Raw genomic sequence first — 19,930 nt, 5'->3', positions numbered from 1 at the left:
ACTCTATGGATGCCTCATTCCAACTAAAACATAACTGTTTGCATAACATGTCCTGTTTTACTTTAAAGAAATTCCCAGATGGAATTCCATCAGATATGATAAAATACTGGATGTATTCCTTTTTAAATCTTGAGGATAGAATCTGTACTTACCCTCTTCAGATCTTGGAGAAAAAGAACTTTACTTTAAAAGTATAAAGCATAATTTATTTTATAATTCTTTGATTTTGTATTTTTTTCTAACATTCCTAGAGGACTTTTGGTTTTTTAACCAATAAATATATTTCATGGAATTTAAAATTTTTAAGTAAATTATTTTAGAGTTTAATAAAAGCAAATTAAAAATTGCTTATACCATTAATAAACATCCATCAGCTGATAGTTATTACACATGCCACTTTGTAGGTGATATGGGTGATCTAAAAGGACTTGACCTTCAGGAAGCTGGGTAGATGAAGCATGTGACAAAAGTTGAAAATGCAGAAAATGATGAAGTGCTAAAAACAGGGTAGGACTCAGAAGAGTTCAGGGAAGTGAAAGATTGATGTGTATTTACCCTAGACATGGGATTGAATTAGGGCTTTAAGGATAATTATTAGAGGAAGTGATTAGTCTAGGTAAAGAAAATAATGAGTTAGGCCCTGTTTTTGAGCGAATGTGTCACATTAAGGAGAAAGCAATTATACTTAAAGAGAGCAAAGGTTTGCATGGTGAAAAGCAGCAAAATATGAAGTTGGAAAGGCATGTTGACTAAAATTTGGTGGATCAAGAAAGCAAGGAGTATAAGTTTGGTTTGCTATTAAGACAATAAGAGAGCCATTGTTAGCACTTGAGCAAAAAAAAAAGCATAAAAATATACTTATAAATTATAAAATATAAAGATTGATAAAAATAGATTTATGTTTAAATTATGTTCAATGACAATAACAGTCTGGATTAGACTAGTAATAAGTTATATTAGTTTAATAGATTAAAGTAACAAAGAAGAGAGAGAAGCAAAGATGACCTAAAGTTATAGAGTAGAAGACTATTCAGTTTCTTGAAAAATAATTATTAACTTTGGCAGTGTACTACATGTGTGAGTTTATATTCCACTCATAGATAATGCTTATAGAGGAAATGTATTGCTGAATTCTTAATTAGAATTTGGAATTTAACCTGTCTCCTCTTATGTTACATAGCTTTGTAAATGAATTGGCCATTCTTATCAGAAATGCCAACAACTTACTGTATATTTACTGGCTGATTCTTGGATTCTTGGCATTGTTAAACGAACTCTGGGAATTTTACAAAACAGACACAGCTGGACAATGTCTAGATAAGTCATATCAAACATACACATAAGACCATTCATCTTTGTCCATCAACAAACCTACCTCTCCTTCAAGAATGAATTTAAATATTATCTTCTCTTTGAACACTTACAAATATCCTAGAAAGAAATGGCTACATTTCATGAATTTTTAAATTCTATCATACTTTTTATTGTATCCTTTTAATGGTATTTGGTATCGTGTAGTGTTTTTGTTTTTCTGATCTTCATTGAGTGCAATATTAAGACCTACACTGGTATAATTCACTTCATAGATGATGTGTATCATTTAGATTATAAGCACTTGGAGGATACATCAAGGGCAAAAGCAAGAGATGCTGTTTAATGAATCTTTGCATGACTATTCACAGTAATTATTACCTTTTAATAAAGTGGCTAGCAGAGGGAGTAATAAATGCTTCCTTTGTTCAAAAAGTAACAATTTAAAAGTATTATTTAGGGGAAAATTATTCTTCCATGTGTGAACATGTACATACTCAAAGTAGTCAGCACACTCCATGGTATATACTTGATACTCAATAATATTTGAATTTTTTTTTTTAGTATAGAATAGGTTATACTCTGAAAAATAAACAATGAAGAAAAGAAAGAGGCAGGGTAAGTGCCCAAGATAACATGGTCAGGAACGGTAAAGCATATAGGTAGGTCTAGATCAATAGAAGGAAAGAATGTATCTTAATACAACATATGAAGATCCATTAGAGATTTTCACAGAACCAAGTGTGCTCTAAGCAGCATGGAATGGCTGTATTAATGAGGTGGAGGAGAGGTCGAGAACATCTAAGATATGATAATAGTTCTTAATAATCAATGCATTATTGCAACATATTGCTAGTAATATAAAAAGGTAAATTTTCTCCAGACTGTTCATTTTTTAAAAGTTTAAAGTATTTGAGTATCAAATAGGCCATATAGTCTAATATTCTATGAGTTCACAATATGCATAAAATGCATAATGTGTTTCTAAATGAAACCATATGCCAACAACTGTCTCAGAGGAATGAGAAAGGTTGTCTGAACTCCATGACTTCTTTGCTTAGCTTTCCCCTGGTACATATATCATGCTGAAATTGTCAATATCCTCTCTGAGACTATATGAAGGAAAATGGTAGAAGAGCAAGCTAATGTTTACTGAGGATCTACCAAGTGTAGTAGGACTGGGTTAGACATTTCATATTCTTTATCTTATGTTAATCTTCATAACAAGTTTGTAAGATTGATGCTACTACTCATGTTTTATAAATGAAAAAAAATCAAGACTTGGACAGGTTATGAAATGTGCCTAAAGTCACCCAGCTATAAGTGGCAGAAGTGATACTCAATGCCAGAGCCCAAGTGCTTTCTACCATATTGCACTGTCCTCACTCATAAAATGAAAACTGGCTGACAAATGAAGTCAAATCGTTATTTTACCTATATTTTTAAAAAGACTTCAGTTATTTTTTGTTTACTAAATAAATCAGAAGGCCGATGGTAGAGAAAGACATCTTCCAGACTGATGCCAAAAACAACCTGAACTGAAATGCTGTTAAAAAAATAAACTTTCTGCTTTCTCAATCAGTTTTCTGCACTGAGAGATTACTAAAATTTTTTAACATAGAAAACATACTTTACAGTATAGAAAAGCATGTGGAGATAAAAATAGAATGGGTATTGATGCTACAAGATTGAATACAAGTTTTATTGGATGATAAAAGGAGTTAGTTGAGGATAGTCTAACCTTAAAAGATTTGAAGCATTGTTGTGTCAGAAGAGTACCTGGTATATTGTAGACAATCAATACATTTTTGTAGAATAAATTATAAAAATGTAATCATATTACCTTATGATATTCACATTAATTGATGGTCCAGAGCAGATTGGTAACTTTTAACTTTTCACTAATTAGAAATACTAGAGCATATCTTCATAAAAATATCAAAGGAATTATGTGTGGATTGTTACATTTTGTACTTCTTTAAGATAAGCTTAAATTAATCAAGAAGAAAATGAATCAAGTGCATTCATATTTCTTTTCTAGTGCTCAGCTTCTTGTGGTAAAGGTAGAAAGTACCGTGAAGTGTTTTGCATTGACCAATTCCAAAGGAAATTAGAAGACACAAATTGCAGTCAAGTACAGAAACCTCCAACTCACAAAGCCTGTAGATCTGTCAGATGCCCTTCATGGAAAGCCAATAGCTGGAATGAGGTATATGATGTATATTTTATAATTATATATGTATTTTTTTGTATTTAAAAAGAAAATTCATTCTTATTTTTCATAACCTTGAATGTTTTGCTTCTCTAAAATTTATTGTTATATACTTTTTTGCACTATGCTGTAAGTTAGTATTAATACTAAACAGTGTTAACACATTTCCTAAGTTTATAGTTAAATAATAAATTAGTCATTTGATTTTTTAAAAAATTAAGACCAGTTCTTGCTATGTTGCCCAAGCTGTTCTTAAACTCCTGGGCTCAAGCAATCCTCCCATCTTATCCTCCCAAAGTGCTGGGATTACAGACGTGAGCCACTGTGCCCAGCCTAGTCATTTGATTTTTGTGACTATAAACTTAACAAGAAATTTTGTTACTGAATACTAGCAGAGGCTACTGATAATCATAATAGTATTCTATGCAGGCTAACAGAAAAATATATATGATGATACATTTAGTAACTGCCTTGTTTCTACCCCCAAATCTTGGATTTTAGCTAAGATTGAATCCTGGAGAAGGGACTGGTAAATTCCAGATGGGATTGTAATCCGAGATTGAGAGTTAGGAAGTTGTCAGAGATAGATAGCCTAGGCTGCGCTAGAATGAAAAGACTCACCAAAAATGAAAAGACTCAGCAAAAATGAAGCTGATAAATAAATGAGACCCTGGCTGACAATTTAGCCTGTAAAAGAAGGGTAATTGATACCACTTGGCATACTCAGAGGAAAGAGATCAAAATTTAAATTCGGGTAGGCATGCATTTGAAAATGACTGTCAAACACCACCAGCTTGGGAAATATTGACAGGACAAAAGCCATGAATGAAGTCAGAAAAGATAACTGGAATAATTTCCTGAGGACTAATTTCAATGGGTCTAGACTTTCAATGTAGCCATCTGGCTGCTCTCAGTAGTACCTCAGAGAGCTTATCTATTTCTTAAAGGGCCTAGTCCTGCAAAAGGAAAAAGACACCCATCTTCTGATGTTGGAACTTCCTTATCTCTGTCAGATGTTTGAGTTATGTCTATTGGGGAGCTAGAAGGAAATGGAGTTTCCCCTGGGGTCAAAAGTCATCATCATTCTCTCTTTGCGCTCAGCATGTCAATGCAGGGCACACAGCTTTGGAGTGGAATTATGTCAGTGCCTCACTGATACTGAATAAAAGCCTTCCAAATTGAGTAAAAATCTCAAATTTCTTTGTAGAAGAGGCAGCCTCTGTCAAGTGTTAATGTGCTGGGGCTTGTGGTCAATGTTTAATTGAAAACTAGATGCTAATGCATCTCTGTTTTTTATCCCACAAAAAAAGATGTATTATTGGGCATTTGCTTCTATATTGAATGTTCATCAAATAAATCAATTATTTTTCATGCTTTACCAGAGGTCATGATTTAAAAGATTTCTCTATTAACTTGTTTTATTTTGTAAATGTCACTACTCTCTACTAAGTTGTTCAAGAAAGAAATACTGGATCCATCCTTATCCTTTTTCCTTGCCTCCATAGTTAGTCACTCAACAGGTTCTCTCATCTCTTTCAAGTAGCTCTTGAATCTCCATTGCACACACCCCGGTCTAGTTTAATAGTTCATCATCATCTGTTCCTGAGTCTGTAATGGCCTCTCTACATATATTTTGGCCATTATTTACATTCACATAGTGTGAGCTCAGAAGAACTCAGATATGCTTGTGTCACTTAATATCATCTTGTGTCACTTAATATCATCTGTGACTAAGCATTATCCTTAGGGAGTAAGACTAAAACCTAACCCATGCTCACTTGTTCAGAATTATCTCAGACCAGTATCTCTTTTCCTCTTGGCGACAATGGACATTTTGTTTCCACACCTAGCTTTGTATCTAAGCTAAATACTTCTTACTTTGAATACTGTGATCTAATTGCAAAAATACTCACCATCTCTTAAATTATTATGTTTCCAATATTGTGGTTTTGCTTAAAGTGGAGGTTTGCCTTACTTGATCTGGATAGAGGTGTGTCAGGATAATGGCAAAGTAGCTTTCCCCTAAGCGTGTGAAACATTGTAAAGGCACTGAATATGAACGGCCACAGATCTGTCCAGCAGTTAACTCCCAGTTCCTACATCAGGCAGGAGCCACGGGGGCATGGGAGTGGAAGTGGGAGAGACTTTTTGTGTCTTGGCCACCAATATTCCTGTTGGTCCCAAAGATTCTTTTGCTGCGGTGCAGCTGCTGCAGCTGCTGTGGTTGGTATTCATGAGAGACACTTTCTGTCTCTGAACCTCCAGCTCCACAATAGTGAATCCATCATCCGTGGTAACAAATTGGCCTTGGCTTACCACCAAATATGAAATTATATAAAATCTGCTAAAGGAACATATTTCTGGGGCTTCAAAAATACAGATATGAATATTTAAGGACTATAAAAAATAGATGCTTTTTTATATAATTTGCTTGCTTCTCCTTGAATTAGTTTTCCTTGTCATAGAAATTAGTTGCATTCACCCACACAGTCCCCAAATCTCTGCCAGAAACAAATGACCACTTGTGAAGTCATTGCCTTTTGATTTATTCTATAAAAAGCACCCACACGAAGTTAACAATTGCAAGCTGTCATTGCACTACATATAATAATGTATTAAACAGAAGCGTAATTTCAGAGGTAGTTACAAGATAATCACTGGTTGTTGCTTTATTCCGATTGTATAAATTGTAACATTACCTTAATATAATCACTCACTCTTAAAATAATTTCATTTTATTACTATTTTACATGATGCCTCAAATGGAAAGACTCATTTGGTAAATTTTGACCACAGAGGTGCTTAAATGAGTTTTGAAGGAACACTCTTCATTTGATATTTGTATCTTTTTTTTTAACGAAAGGATTTAGTAACGCATTTTAATGACTGTTGCTAAACAGGAACAAACATTGCTATACAGGGCCGTTTGTCCTCTATGTTCAAATGTATATCCTTAGATGCAAATTAAATAATTGAATCATTTAAAAGAAAAAATAATCCCACCCCACCCCCACTTCCTGGAAGCGAGGGGATTTTTTTTTTCGTTTAATTTTATCTATTTGGGAATAGCAGCTTCACTTGTAAATTCAAGTTTTTAAAGCTAGTATGGTTCTAGATTCTTCATTGTCTCAGGTCCCATCTACTTACTTTAGTGCCATCCAAATGCACAATCTCTAGGAAAAAAATATTCTGAATTCTCACCTCCCCTTAATCATGGCAAACCTGCTGGACAGCCTGTGTCCCCTCACCAGTGCATTCTTAATTACCTTGGTGAATGAAGTGTTTTCTTTGGACCTTCCTAAGAAGTATGGTCAGATAGTGTGTTCTCCAGTCTCATATAGTAAATCCATTCTAAAACTCTCAAAAAAAAAAAAAAAAAAAAAAAGAATCTCACACAACAGTATTCAATGTAGAACCAGGTCAAATCAGCCTCTTGGCTGCTTACACCTTCTTTGAGACCCATCATTTTCTTACTTGCATTTTAAGACCAGAGCTGGGACCAAAGGTGATATAAATTCCAAAATCCCACAAATCTGCTGCCCAGTGCTCCCCACCCAAAGCCCCTAATTTGGAAAAAAAAGAAAAGAAAGAAACTGTATGCTAAATGCTAGATGTTTAAGATATTTTGTATTTCTGTAATTCCATATTGTCTATATTTCAAAAATACATAAGTATAAATCTTTATTTCTATATTTTCAGAATTTCTGACATATACATATATGTTTTATAATTTGAAAAATAGTAAATGTTAATTTTTTAAGTCCCTAAAGCTCCTAAGAATCTGTGATCCCTTCATTTGAAATGTCAGGGTATTCAGTGACATTTCTACTGGTGAAGGTAGACTAGGGTTCAGGGACAGGGAGGATGCCCTCCTGCTTCCAGCGCTGGTTAAACTTTGCTTCCTAATTTTTTCTAGATAGTGAAATTCTATTTTTCATTTCAGTGCTATCTGTTAATGCTCCTCCTTTATCATCTTTCTTGATATTTAAAATGGCCTTTCTTGGGGTAGGCTGAGGTGACTAGCACTCTAACTTAGGGCATTTATCAAACTTTTCAAGGCATAAATGGTTGAATCTCCATAAGAAAAGTAAAAAAATGAGAAGAAGGGAGCAGCAAGGGACAGTCACTTCCTGATACTATATTAAGAGTTTTTATTCCCCACAAATGCAGGTTTTATTACGTTCATTAGACAGATGAAGAAACAGCAGCTTATAGAAAGGTTAAGAAGCTTGTGTAGGTCATAGTGCAGGAAATGTTGGGGGCAGGGATTTGAACAGAGGTCTAGTTGAGCTTTCTCCATTATACTAGTTATCGTTATCCCATTAATATCATTATACATTAGCTCATCCTTATATTTCCTTAGCAAATTATTGCCCCTTTGGCCAAGAAGGACACATGAAGTTCACAATTTCAGGCCGTCACTGCACTGCATGTAATAGTGTAGTCAATAGAAATGTAATTTCTAAGTTGTGCTGAATTCATGGCAAGTTTTTAATGTAAAAATGTCTGTTGCATAAATGTGAAATATTATATATATAGATTTTACAGGTTAAAGGGTAAATAACTGAGGATATAGTTGATCACATATTAAATATGATGGAGTTGCTTAAATCACTAACATACTAGGTTACATTAACAGAAGGATGATGTTCAAAGTGTTGGGCACTAATATATCCTGATCAGATATTTGAAGTGGTGCCTATTCTGGAATACAGATTATAAGTAAAATCTTGACAATTTTCCATATCCCTAGAGAAAAACAATTAAATGGTAGCAACTATGCTGTCAGTTGTCTAGTGTTCTGCTGCCAGTAGCAAGAGCCCTGATTTTATTAGTGATTTAAACTACAAAGACTTTTATTTTTCGTATAACAAAATCAGAGTGTTTCTGATTTTAATTTTAATTCAGCAGCTCTACAACATTAGGGTGCTGGATTGGCATTTCTGTGATTCTGTTGTTCAACTTGTAATGGTCATAAAATGGCTGCCACAGTTCCAGTCCTCACATCTTCATACTTTCTCACATGAAATTAGGTATGTATTTGTTCTACATTTAAAAGACAGACAGATTCTGGACAATGCATTAAAGTTTAAAAAATATTCTAGTTCAATATAAGAGAATATTTGCTAATATTGCAGATTAAAAAATGCCATGGCTGCTTTCACAATACGGTGAACATAGCCACAATGAAGTTAAGTATGGGTAGGTTTTATGGTCACTCATTCATTATTGTTATAGAAAGATTTCATAATGAAAGAGAAATTAGGATTACTTATTCCTAGAGTCTCTTTAACCTCAAAATACTATACTACTGCTAATGGTACTACTATATTATTGATTCCCTTGAAATAAACCATAGTTGCAAATAAGTGACTATAATGAAATCAAAACCTTATCCATAATAAAAAAATTATAAACAAGGCTTCAAAAGAGAAGACTTCCCTATTTTCATTTTAAATAATTATTTATTAAATAGCAGAGTGAGTCAGCCTTGATGAACCCATTTTTGCAATGCAGAATCTAATATTTCCTTATCTCTGCTCCGCAATAGCTATAATGGTTACAGTACCTGTGGATTCGCTAAAATTTACCTAATCCATTTCCACTCTCAAGTCTTTAAAGCACTAATGTATGCAGTGTTATATTTTTTCATAAATAGGATATTTATGAACTGTCTGGATTGAGTTATGTAATATAGATGAAGAAGTAGTGCATCCCAGTCAATTAGGTGGTGTTATAATTGCACTTACAGCTTCACAATGCCTTTACATTCATTACCTGGATTTTTTAAAAAAACGAAATTTGACATGCTTATATTAGTTCTATAACACTGTTAAAATAATGGATACATATTAAGGAGTTATAATGTACCTTGAGAAGCCATTCTAGTAAGCCACTTAAGAGTGGATGATAGTGTTTTCCCTGTATCTACAACCTTAGAAGAAAATGGCTTTGGGAAAAGGGAAAGAGTTCTGCTATGGAAATGTTACATTTTAGGTGCCTTTGACATATCTAAGTAGAAAACACATAAAAATCTTGTAAATACATGAAACGGTTCTTATAAATACATGAAAATGTAAATGCAGAACTCAGAACTGTGACCAAAGCTGGAGATAACATTTAGAAATTACTCATGTATAGAAGAAATTGCTCAGAAAGAGCTTTTTAAGAGAAGCCAGTTATAAATGGAGCCCTGGGATATGCTGACATTTAAAGAATATGCAGAGAAAATAGTAAAAGACCCTGAGAAGGAGCAATTCAAGAGGTAAGAGGAGACCCCCTAGAACTAAAGGAGTTTCAATCACAGAACCAGAATGATTCAACAGAAAGTGATCAGTGGTGCCAAATGTGTTCGGGAGATTAACTAAGAAAAGATTTGAAAACTTTCTATTGGACTTGGCAGTTGGGGTTATTGATGACAGCAGGCTAAGGAATATTCAATTTAAGCAATGAATTCGTCTATGTTAAAATCTAAAACCATACTGATTTATGCTTTTGTACTTTTATTCCTAAAAACTGAAAAACAAGTTACTTTTTTTCTTCCAAGTAGTAGTCCCTTCTTTTTCTTTTTAGAGAAGAGGTTCATATCGAAAATATAGTAGCTAGCTGCTCTCTTAGTGGATTTTTAAAAACTCATGCTAGGATCAAAGGACCAATAATTAAGTGTGGTTTATTGAATTGTAGGAAATTATATTTATCTAATAGAACTTCTTGCTAAACTGTGTTTTATAAACTATTTTTTTCCAGGAATTCTTTTTCAGGCTTAGAGGCAGGATGTTTTCCAAATATAGTTTATATTTCTGAAATTAGCTGTGAAAAATGTTTTCAGGAGCTTTATTTTATAGGCTAGACATTTTCATAAGAGATTCATTTACGTTAAACTACATCCAGACATTTTAGTCTATTTAATATTGTGCCATACACAAAGTGCACATGAAATTATTATTCTCTACACAAAAAACTGTATATTTTTTTCTGAAAATATTTAATGAGTTGGCAAAATTCAACTGCTTAAGCATAACATGAAGGTCAGTGTAAGTTATGTAGATGTGCATAAGATTTTATACATTTAAATATGCCTTATATTTTACTTCATAAGTAAAACAACAAAAATTCTCTTTGAAGTTGGTGGTTGCTGCTTATACTCACAAGAGAGAAAACTAAATTTTAAAGTGCTTTTCCAGTAAAAATGTTGACACAGTTTATGAGAGGAATTTTAGTCTACTGGGTAAACGAAATTCTTAGCTTTTGTGGGCTTTAAATTTTTTTCTTTCAGGGTAAAACTGTATTTTGCAGATATATATTTACTGTTGTGAAAAGGAAATTAGTTACTCTGGAATCCTGCAGAAATAATGAACTTGGTGAATAACCTGATTTTTCCCCCTTATAATATTACAGTTGGGAATACTAATGGATCCCCAAACAATATTACTCATTATGACCTCCAATTCCTACTGGAATGACAAGGAATATAAACAATGAAACTCACAAATTAAATATCTTTAGACATACTCTACACTTTTTTAACGTTGGCATCACAGCTCTTGTAGTTAAGCTCTGTTATTATATGGCTTTACTACTTAATTTTGGAAGATGTGACATCCTAGAGTTGAAAGATTGCCAAGTCCTCCTTCATCCCCAGGAGGCAACACAGTAAGAGCTCAGTCTGGAGTAAAAAAGAACAGAACTTCAACTATTTTTCACTGCTGCTATGATCTGAATATTTGCCAACCCTACACCTGAAAAAAAATATGCATGTGTTGAAATCCTAATCCTTGAGGTGATGGTATTAGGAGGTAGGGACTTTAGGAGCTGACTAAATCATGAGGGTAGAGCACTCATTGTTGGAATTAGTTCTCTTATAAAAGACACTCCAGAGATCTAGCTTGTTCCTTCACCCATGTGACGACACAGTGAGAAGGCACCCTTCTACAGATCAGAAAGTAGGCCCTCACCAGACACTGACACCGCCAGCACCTTGATCTTGAAATTCCCAGCCTCCAGAACTGTGAGAAATAAATTTCTGTTGTTTATAAGCCATGAGTTTATGGTATTTTGTTATAGCAGCCCTAATAGACTAAGATAAAAAAAAATTGGTACTGATAATGAGGTGCTGCTATAACAAATATCTAAAATACAGAAGTGGTTTTGGAACTGGGTAATGACTAGCAGCTGGAAGAGCTTTGAAATGCATGCTAGAAAAAGCCTATAGTGCCACGAATGGATCATTAAGGGCTATTCTTGTAAAAGCCCATAAAGAGAAGAGGAGAGCTTTAGAGAGAGCCTCAATCTTTGAGAATACCTAAGTAGTTGCAAACAGAATGTTCTTAGAAATATGGACAGTAAAGGCCATGAAGTCTCAGATAGAAATTGTTATTGGACAGTGTAGGAAAGTCCATGCTTGCTCGAAAGTGGCAAAAAACAAACAAAAAAACAAAACCTGACAGAACTGTACTCATGTTCCAGTGTTTTGTGGAAGATAGAACTGATAAGTGATGAAATTGGCTGTTAGGCTGAGGATATTTCTAAGCAAAGTATTGAAGGTGCAACTTGGCTTCTCTTGACTGCTAATAGAAAAATTTAAAAAGAGAAATGATACAAAGATGGAGTTGTTAATAAAAAAGAAAGCAGAACTTAACATTTTGGAAAATTCTCAGCCTATTTATATTTGAAAAAATGAGAAAGTTCAGGAGAGAATACAAAAGGTGTGGCTGAATTTGATAAGGAGATTAGTTTGATTAGTTTGAATCAGCAATTTCAATCTAAGCTATGAGCTGTTTATCAGTACAACAGGGAGATTAGACAGCTATCTAAACAGATGCCATAATATATTGTCTAAGACAATGGAAGGATGGCCTCCCAACAGCATTCTGAAGCTCCTCAGGGATTGCATAGGCCCAGAGTGCAATGGCCTAAGGACAGAACAGGGCTGCAATGGTTTGGTGCCACCCCACATTATTGGCTCTGCTTCCCACATTCTGGCACAGCAGTCCTCAACTACCCCAGATGTGTCTCCAGTGGTCCCAAGTACAGCAATGGCTATGATGGCCATCCCTCCAGAGTTCACAGGTGATAAACTTTAGCAGTGTCCAAGTGGGACTATCTCCACTGACACACAGAGTAAATGAGTCATGCTTGTGTGGCAACTTCCGCCTAAATTTCAAAGGATAGAGCTGCCTACGGACTTGGGCACATGAGCAAGGAAGAGGGCCATTGCAAGGGCAGAGATATGTTCATGGAAATATGGACAGTAAAGGCCATGAGGTCTCAGATGGAAATCATAACATGTTATCATGTTATTGGACAGTGGAGGAAAGTCCATCCTTGTTCTAAAGTGGCAAAAAAACAAAAACAAAAACAAAAACAAAAAAAACCTGGCTGAATTGTCCCCACTAAGCTGATGCCATGGCATCAGAGCTGCCCCCATGACCCCAGACCACTATAGCCACTGGCATGCAACTTCAGTCTGGAAGGGCCATAGGCACCAAACTACAATCCATGAGAACTGTGGCATGGGCTGAATCCAACAAAGCCATGGGGCAATGCCACCTAGAGCCCTGAGGACCCAATCCCTGCCCCAGTGTGTCCAGAAGGTGGAACATTGCATCAAAGATTATTCTCAAGACTTAAGATTTACTGTTGTTGGCTCTGCTGGGTTTTTTACTTACTCAAGTCCTATTACCCTTTTCTTCTTTTCTACTTTTCTTTTTTGGAATGAGAATGTCTACCCTATGGCTTGCCTGTACCACCATTGTGTTGTGTAAGCACATAACTTTCTTGATTTCACAGGTTCACAGCTGAAGAGATATTTGCCTCAGGATGAATCAATTATACCTTGAATCTCACTCATATCTGATTGAGATGATACTGAGATGAGAGTCTGGACTTTATAGACTTTTGAATTGATGCTAGAATGAGCTAAGACTTTGGTATTATTGAGATGGAATGAATATATTTTTCATGTGAGAAGGACACGAATTTGAGGAGTGGGGCAGGGAAAGAATGGGATGATCTGAATGGTTGTGTTCTTTCAAAATTTATATGATGAAGTTCTATCCCCCAAGGTGATGGTATTAGGAGGTGGGGCCTTTTCTAGTCCCTTATAAAGGACACCCCAGAAAGCTAGCTCATCCCTTCCTCCATATGAGAACACAGTGAGAGGGTGCCCTGTAGGAACCAGAAAGTGGACTCTCACTGGATGTAGAATCTGCCAGCACCTTGATCTTGAAATTCCAGCCTCCAAAATTGTGGGAAGTAAATTTCTGGTGTGTGAGACATTCTGTTTATGGTATTTTGTTATAGCAGCCTGAACAGACTAAGACAATCACTAACTATAGGCAGCACCTCAGGCAAGGGACTTTAACCTCTCTGAGTCCCAGTGTCCTCAGCCATAGTACCGCTTTTATAGAGCTGTTGACAGGAATAAATGTATGGAAAGTGTTCTGTGACATTTCACAAGTAACACAAAATTGTACACATAAGAAAAACAAGACTTGGACAAAGTTGTCTAAGTTTACAGTTTACACAGCCAGTTTTCCAAAACTCCTATCCATTGAAATATAATCATGAATCAACAAATCAGCCAAGATGGCCAAATAGGAACAGTTCCTGTCTGCAGCTTCTAGTGAGACCAATGCAGAAGGCAGGTGATTTCTGCATTTCCAACTGAGGTACCCAGTTCATCTCACTGGTTAGACAGTGGGTACAGCCCACGGAGGGTGAACAGAAGCAGGCAGGACGGGATGTTGCCTCACCTGGGAAGCACAAGGGGTCAGGAAACTCCTTCCACTGGCCAAGGGAAGCCGTGAGGGACTGTGCCTTGAGGGACGGTCCTATCTGGCCCGGATACTATGCTTTTCCCCTGGTCTTTGCAACCCACCGACCAGGAGACTCCTTCAGGTGCCTACACCACCAGGGCCCTGGGTTTCAAGCGCAAAACTGGGTGGCTGTTTGGGTAGACACCAAGCTAGCTGCGGGAGGTTTTTTTTTTGTACGTGGCACCCGGAATGCCAGCAAGACAGAATTGTTCACTCCCATGGAAAGGGGGCTGAAGCCAGACAGCCACATGGTCTAGCTCAGCAGATCCCACCCCATGGAGTCCGGCAAGCTAAGATCCACTGGCTTGAAATTCTTGCTGCCAGCACGGCAGTCTGATGTCAACCTGGGATGCTGGAGCTTGGTGGGGGGAGGGGCATCAGCCATTACTGAGACTTGACAGACAGTTTTCCTCTCACAGTGTAAACAAAGCCACAGGGAAGTTCAAATAGGATGGAGCCCACCACAATTCATTTTTTCAAATTGGGTGGAGCCCTCCACAACTCTAGCTTGCAGCTTTGCCGCTCTAGCCAAGCTGCCTCTCTAGATTCCTCTGCTCTGGGTAGGGTATCTCTGAAAGAAAGATAGCAGCCCCATTCAGGAGCTTATAGATAAAACTCCCATCTCCCTGAGACAGAGCAATTGGGAAGGGGCAACTGTGGGCGCAGCTTCAGCAGACTTAAATGTTCCTGCCTGCTGGCTCTGAAGAGAGCAGTGGATCTCCCAGCACAGCATTTGAGCTCTGCTAAGGGACAGAATGCCTCCTCATGTGGATCCCTGAGCTCTGTGCCTCCTGACTGGGAGACACCTCCCAGCAGGGGTCAACAGACACCTCATACAGGGGAGCTCCAGCTGGCATCTGATGGGTGCCCCTCTGGGACAAAACTTCCAGAGGATGGAAAAGGCAGCAATCTTTGCTGTTCTGCAGCCTCTGCTGGTGATACCCAGGCAAGCAGGCTCTGGCATGGACCTCCAGCAAACTCCAGCAGACCTGCAACAGAGGGGCCTGACTGTTGGAAGGAAAATTAACAAACAGAAAGCAATGGCATGAACATCAACAAAAGGACGTCCATGCCAAAACCCCATCCAATGGTCACCAACATCAAAGGCCAAAGGTAGATAAATCCACAAAGATAAGGAAAAACTAGCACAAAAAGCCTGAAAATTCCAAAAACCAGAATGCCTCTTCTCCTGCAGAGGATCACAACTCCTCGCCAGCAAAGGAACAAAACTGGACAGAGAATGAGTTTGGCGATTTGACAGAAGTAGGCTTCAGAAGGTGGGTAATAACAAACTCCTCCGAGCTAAAGGAGCATGTTCTAACACAGTGCAAGGAAGCCAAGAACCTTGAGAAAAGGTTAGGGGAATTGCTAACAAGAATAACCAGTGTAGAGAAGAACATAAATGACCTGATGGAGCTGAAAAACACAGCACGAGAACTTCGTGAAGCATACACAAGTATCAATAGCTGAATCAATGAAGCAGAAGAAAGGATATCAGAAATTGAAGATCAACTTAATGAAATAAAGTGTGAAGACAAGATTAGAGATAAAAGAATGAAAAGGAGTGAACAAAGCCTCCAAGAATTGTGGGACAACGTGAAAAGACCAAACCTATGTTTGATTGGTGTACCTGAAAGTGACAGGGAGAATGGAACCAAGTTGGAAAGCACTCTTTAGTATATTATTCAGGAGAACGTCCCCAACCTAGTAAGACAGGCCAACATTCAAATTCAGGAAATATAGAGAACACTACAAAGGTAGTCCTGGAGAAAAGCAACCCCAAGACACATAATTGACAGATTCACCAAGGTTGAAATGAAGGAAAAAATGTTAAGGACAGCCAGAGAGAATGGTCTGGTTACCCACAAAGGGAAGCCCATTAGACTAACAGCGGATCTCTCTGCAGAAACCCTACAAGCCAGAAGAGAGTGGGGGCCGATATTCAACATTTTTAAAGAAAAGAATTTTCAACCCAGAATTTCATATCCAGCCAAACTAAGCTTCGTAAGCAAAGGAGAACTAGAGAAGCAAGAGCAAACAAATACAAAAGCTAGCAGAAGACAAGAAATAACTAAGATCAGAGCAGAACCAAAGGAGATAGAGACCTGAAAAACCCTTCAAAAAATCAATGAATCCAGGACCTGTTTTTTTGAAAAGATTAACAAAATAGGTAGACCGCTAGCCAGACTAATAGAGAAGAAAAGAGAGAAGAATCAAATAGACACAATAAAAATGATAAAGGAGATATCACCACTGATCCCACAGAAATACAAACTACCATCAAAGAATACTATAAACACCTCTATGCAAATAAATTAGAAAATCTCGAAGAAATGAATAAATTCCAGGACGCATAAACCCTCCCAAGACTAAACCAGGAAGAAGTCAAATCCCTGAATAGACCCATAACAAATTCCGAAATTGAGGTAGTAATTAATAGCCAATGAAACAGAACAGAGGCCTCAGAAATAACACCACAAAACTACAACCATCTGATCTTTGACCAAATCTTTAACAAAAACAAGCAATGGGGAAAGGATTCTATATTTAATAAATGGTGTTGGGAAAACTGGCTAGCCATATGCAGAAAACTGAAACTGGACCCCCTCCTTACACCTTATACAAAAATTAACTCAAGATGGATTAAAGACTTAAACATAAGATCTAAAACCATAACATCTCTAAAAGAAAACCTAGGAAATACCATTCAGGACATAGGCATGGGCAAAGACTTCATGACTAAAACACCAAAAGCAATGGCAACAAAAGCCAAAATTGACAAATTGGATCTAATTAAGCTAAAGAGCTTCTGGACAGCAAAATAAACTATCATCAGCGTGAATAGTCAATTTACAGAATGGGAGAAAATTTTTGCAATCTATCCATGTGACAAAGCGCTAATATCCAGAATCTACAAAGAACTTAAATTTACAAGAAAAAAGCAACCCCATTAAAAAGTGGTGAAGGATATGAACAGACCCTTTTCAAAAGAAGACATTTATGGGGCCAACAAACATATGAAAAAAAGCTCATCATCACTGGTCATTAGAGAAATGCAAATCAAAACCACAATGAGATACCATCTCATGCCAGTTAGAATGGTGATCATTAAAAAGTCAGGAAACAACAGATGCTGGAGAGGATGTGGAGAAATAGGAATGCTTTTACACTGTTGGTGGGAGAGTAAATTAGTTCAATCATTGTGGAAGACAGTATGGCGATTCCTCAAGGATGTAGAACCAGAAATAGCATTTGACCCAGCAATCCCATTTTTGGTATATGTGCATAGGATTATAAAACATTCTACTATAAAAAACGCATGCACACATATGTTTATAGCAGCACTGTTCACAATAACAAATAATTTGAACCAACCCAAATGCCCATCAAGAATAGACTGGATAAAGAAAATGCAGCACGTATATAACATGGAATACTATGCAGCTATAAAAAAAGGATGAGTTCATGTCCTTTGCAGGGACACGGATGAAGCTGGAAACCATCATTCTCAGCAAACTAACACAGGAACAGAAAACCAAACACCGCATGTTCTCACTCATAAGTGGGAGTTGAACAATGAGAACACATGGACACATGGAGGGGAATATCACACACTGGGGCCTGTCGAGGGGGTTTGGGGACAAGGTGAGGCATTGCATTAGGAGAAATACCTAATGCAGATGACGGGTTGATGGTTGCAGCAAACCACCATGGCACATGTATACCTACGTAACAAAGCGGCATGTTCTGCACATGTATCCCAGAACTTAAAGTATTAAAAAAAATTAGCAAGTATTTAGATTCCATAACAGGTACAAACTATAGTAGGTACTGTAGATAAAAAGATGAATATAACACAATCTTGGAAATTATTGTTTCTTTGAGGGAGATAATGAGTATAGTCTAAGAATTTAATTGACATTTAAAAGCAATGTTGTGGAATAATTCATGATTAATTGTGTGGTAATTTTTATAGACATTATACTCATTTAAGTAGAAGACAGAGTCATTGATTGAGATGCTGTCTACTATAACTTGATTCGCTTGTCAGAGTTTCTGTAAAGCTTGAAGTGCCTTATGCCAAACAGGGAAAATATACATTTACAGAGATAATGGTAAAAATACTTATTGTATGTATTTTTTATCTAATTCATGTTTTAATACCAGGCTGTATTTAAAATAAATAATATGTAATGGCTCCATTGGCTACTTTTATATAATTTGGTATTTATTAGCTAATTGTTCAAATCAACTGGACTCCTTTGTAGTGCTCTGTGACCTGTGGCTCTGGAGTTCAGCAGAGGGATGTATACTGCAGACTGAAAGGTGTTGGTCAGGTGGTTGAAGAAATGTGTGATCAGTCCACCCGACCTTGTTCTCAGAGGCGATGTTGGAGTCAGGACTGTGTGCAGCACAAGGGGATGGAAAGAGGGAGGCTGAATGTGAGTATCGACATGTAAATTTTCAAAGACACTGCATATAAGAATGTGTTATTCATTTGGTTATTGCATTTCTAGTGTTCAACATCATGTGAGAGAAAAGATTCACATCAACGAATGGAGTGCACAGATAACCAAATCAGACAAGTGAATGAAATAGTCTATAATTCTTCAACCATATCTCTTACATCCAAGAATTGCAGGAACCCTCCTTGCAATTACATTGTGGTAACAGCAGACTCATCACAGGTAAGGTAAAGAAAGGAAGTTGAGAATTTTTGCTCCTTGATAAAACAGCTGGATCTACAATTTGACACAGCTGAAACTGGGTATAAAATTTGAATATGAGGGCAGATGATGGTATGCATATCAATCTAAGGAATGAGACCACTGACAGTTGGATGGTGCAAATAGAGTAATAGTGACATATGTGTTAAACTCTAGTGCAAGTCTCAAGTGTCAGTAGGTGCCAACTGTGAAACCAACCACCAGGAACAATTTGGCAAACTGGCACCGTACAGTTGTCCACTTTTTAGAAATGGCTTTATCGAGGTGTAATTGATGAACCATAAACTAAATATATTCAAAATATATAGCTTAATAAGTTTTAACACATGTACACAGCCATAAAACCAGTACCATTTTGATTTCCATCACTCCCAAAAGTTTCCTTGTGCTGCTTTATAATCTCTTTCCCCCCTCTCTTTTCCCTCCTCACCCAATAAGTGACCTTACCTGTTTTCTATATTAGTGATCTATCACTATACTTGTTTGCATTTTCTAGAGTTTTATATAAGTGGATCATACAGTACATACTTTTTTTGTCTGCTGTAATGTAAGTATTTTGAGATTTGATCAGGTTGTAGTATGTATCAATAGTTTTTTCTTTTATTGTTGAATAATATTCCATTATATAGATGTCTTTACATTTGCTTTTCTTTTCTTTCTGATGTCTGATCCCCATCCAGTCTGTTTTTTTATCTAAGCCATTATCATCTTCATCTTTAGAGGTTTAATTTCAGCTTTTTTATATCTTCCATATCTCTACTTAACATTTTGAACATATGAAACATAGTTACTTTTATTTTTGTAGGTAAAATTTTCCAATTTTTATTTTATTTTTTTCTTGAATTTTTTTAAAAATTATCTTT

The 19,930-nt window shown here is 36.5% G+C and overlaps 1 protein-coding gene across 3 annotated transcripts in view; it reads left to right on the top strand.

Annotated features, from left to right (window-relative positions):
* ADAMTS20 (ADAM metallopeptidase with thrombospondin type 1 motif 20) overlaps positions 1-19,930 on the top strand; it is a 199,441-nt gene that overhangs the window by 149,618 nt on the left and 29,893 nt on the right. For all 3 annotated transcript variants that reach the window (XM_011538754.3, XM_017019979.2, NM_025003.5), the window contains 3 exons: positions 3,353-3,520; positions 18,609-18,782; positions 18,858-19,028. In XM_011538754.3, the coding sequence (XP_011537056.1) occupies positions 3,353-3,520; positions 18,609-18,782; positions 18,858-19,028 (513 nt within the window). The remainder of the gene's footprint in view (positions 1-3,352; positions 3,521-18,608; positions 18,783-18,857; positions 19,029-19,930) is intronic.

The sequence above is a fragment of the Homo sapiens genome, chromosome 12 (genome assembly GCF_000001405.40).
Source record: "Homo sapiens chromosome 12, GRCh38.p14 Primary Assembly".
Taxonomy (NCBI): Eukaryota; Metazoa; Chordata; class Mammalia; order Primates; family Hominidae; genus Homo; species Homo sapiens.
This window is presented reverse-complemented; position numbering and strand designations above follow the sequence as displayed.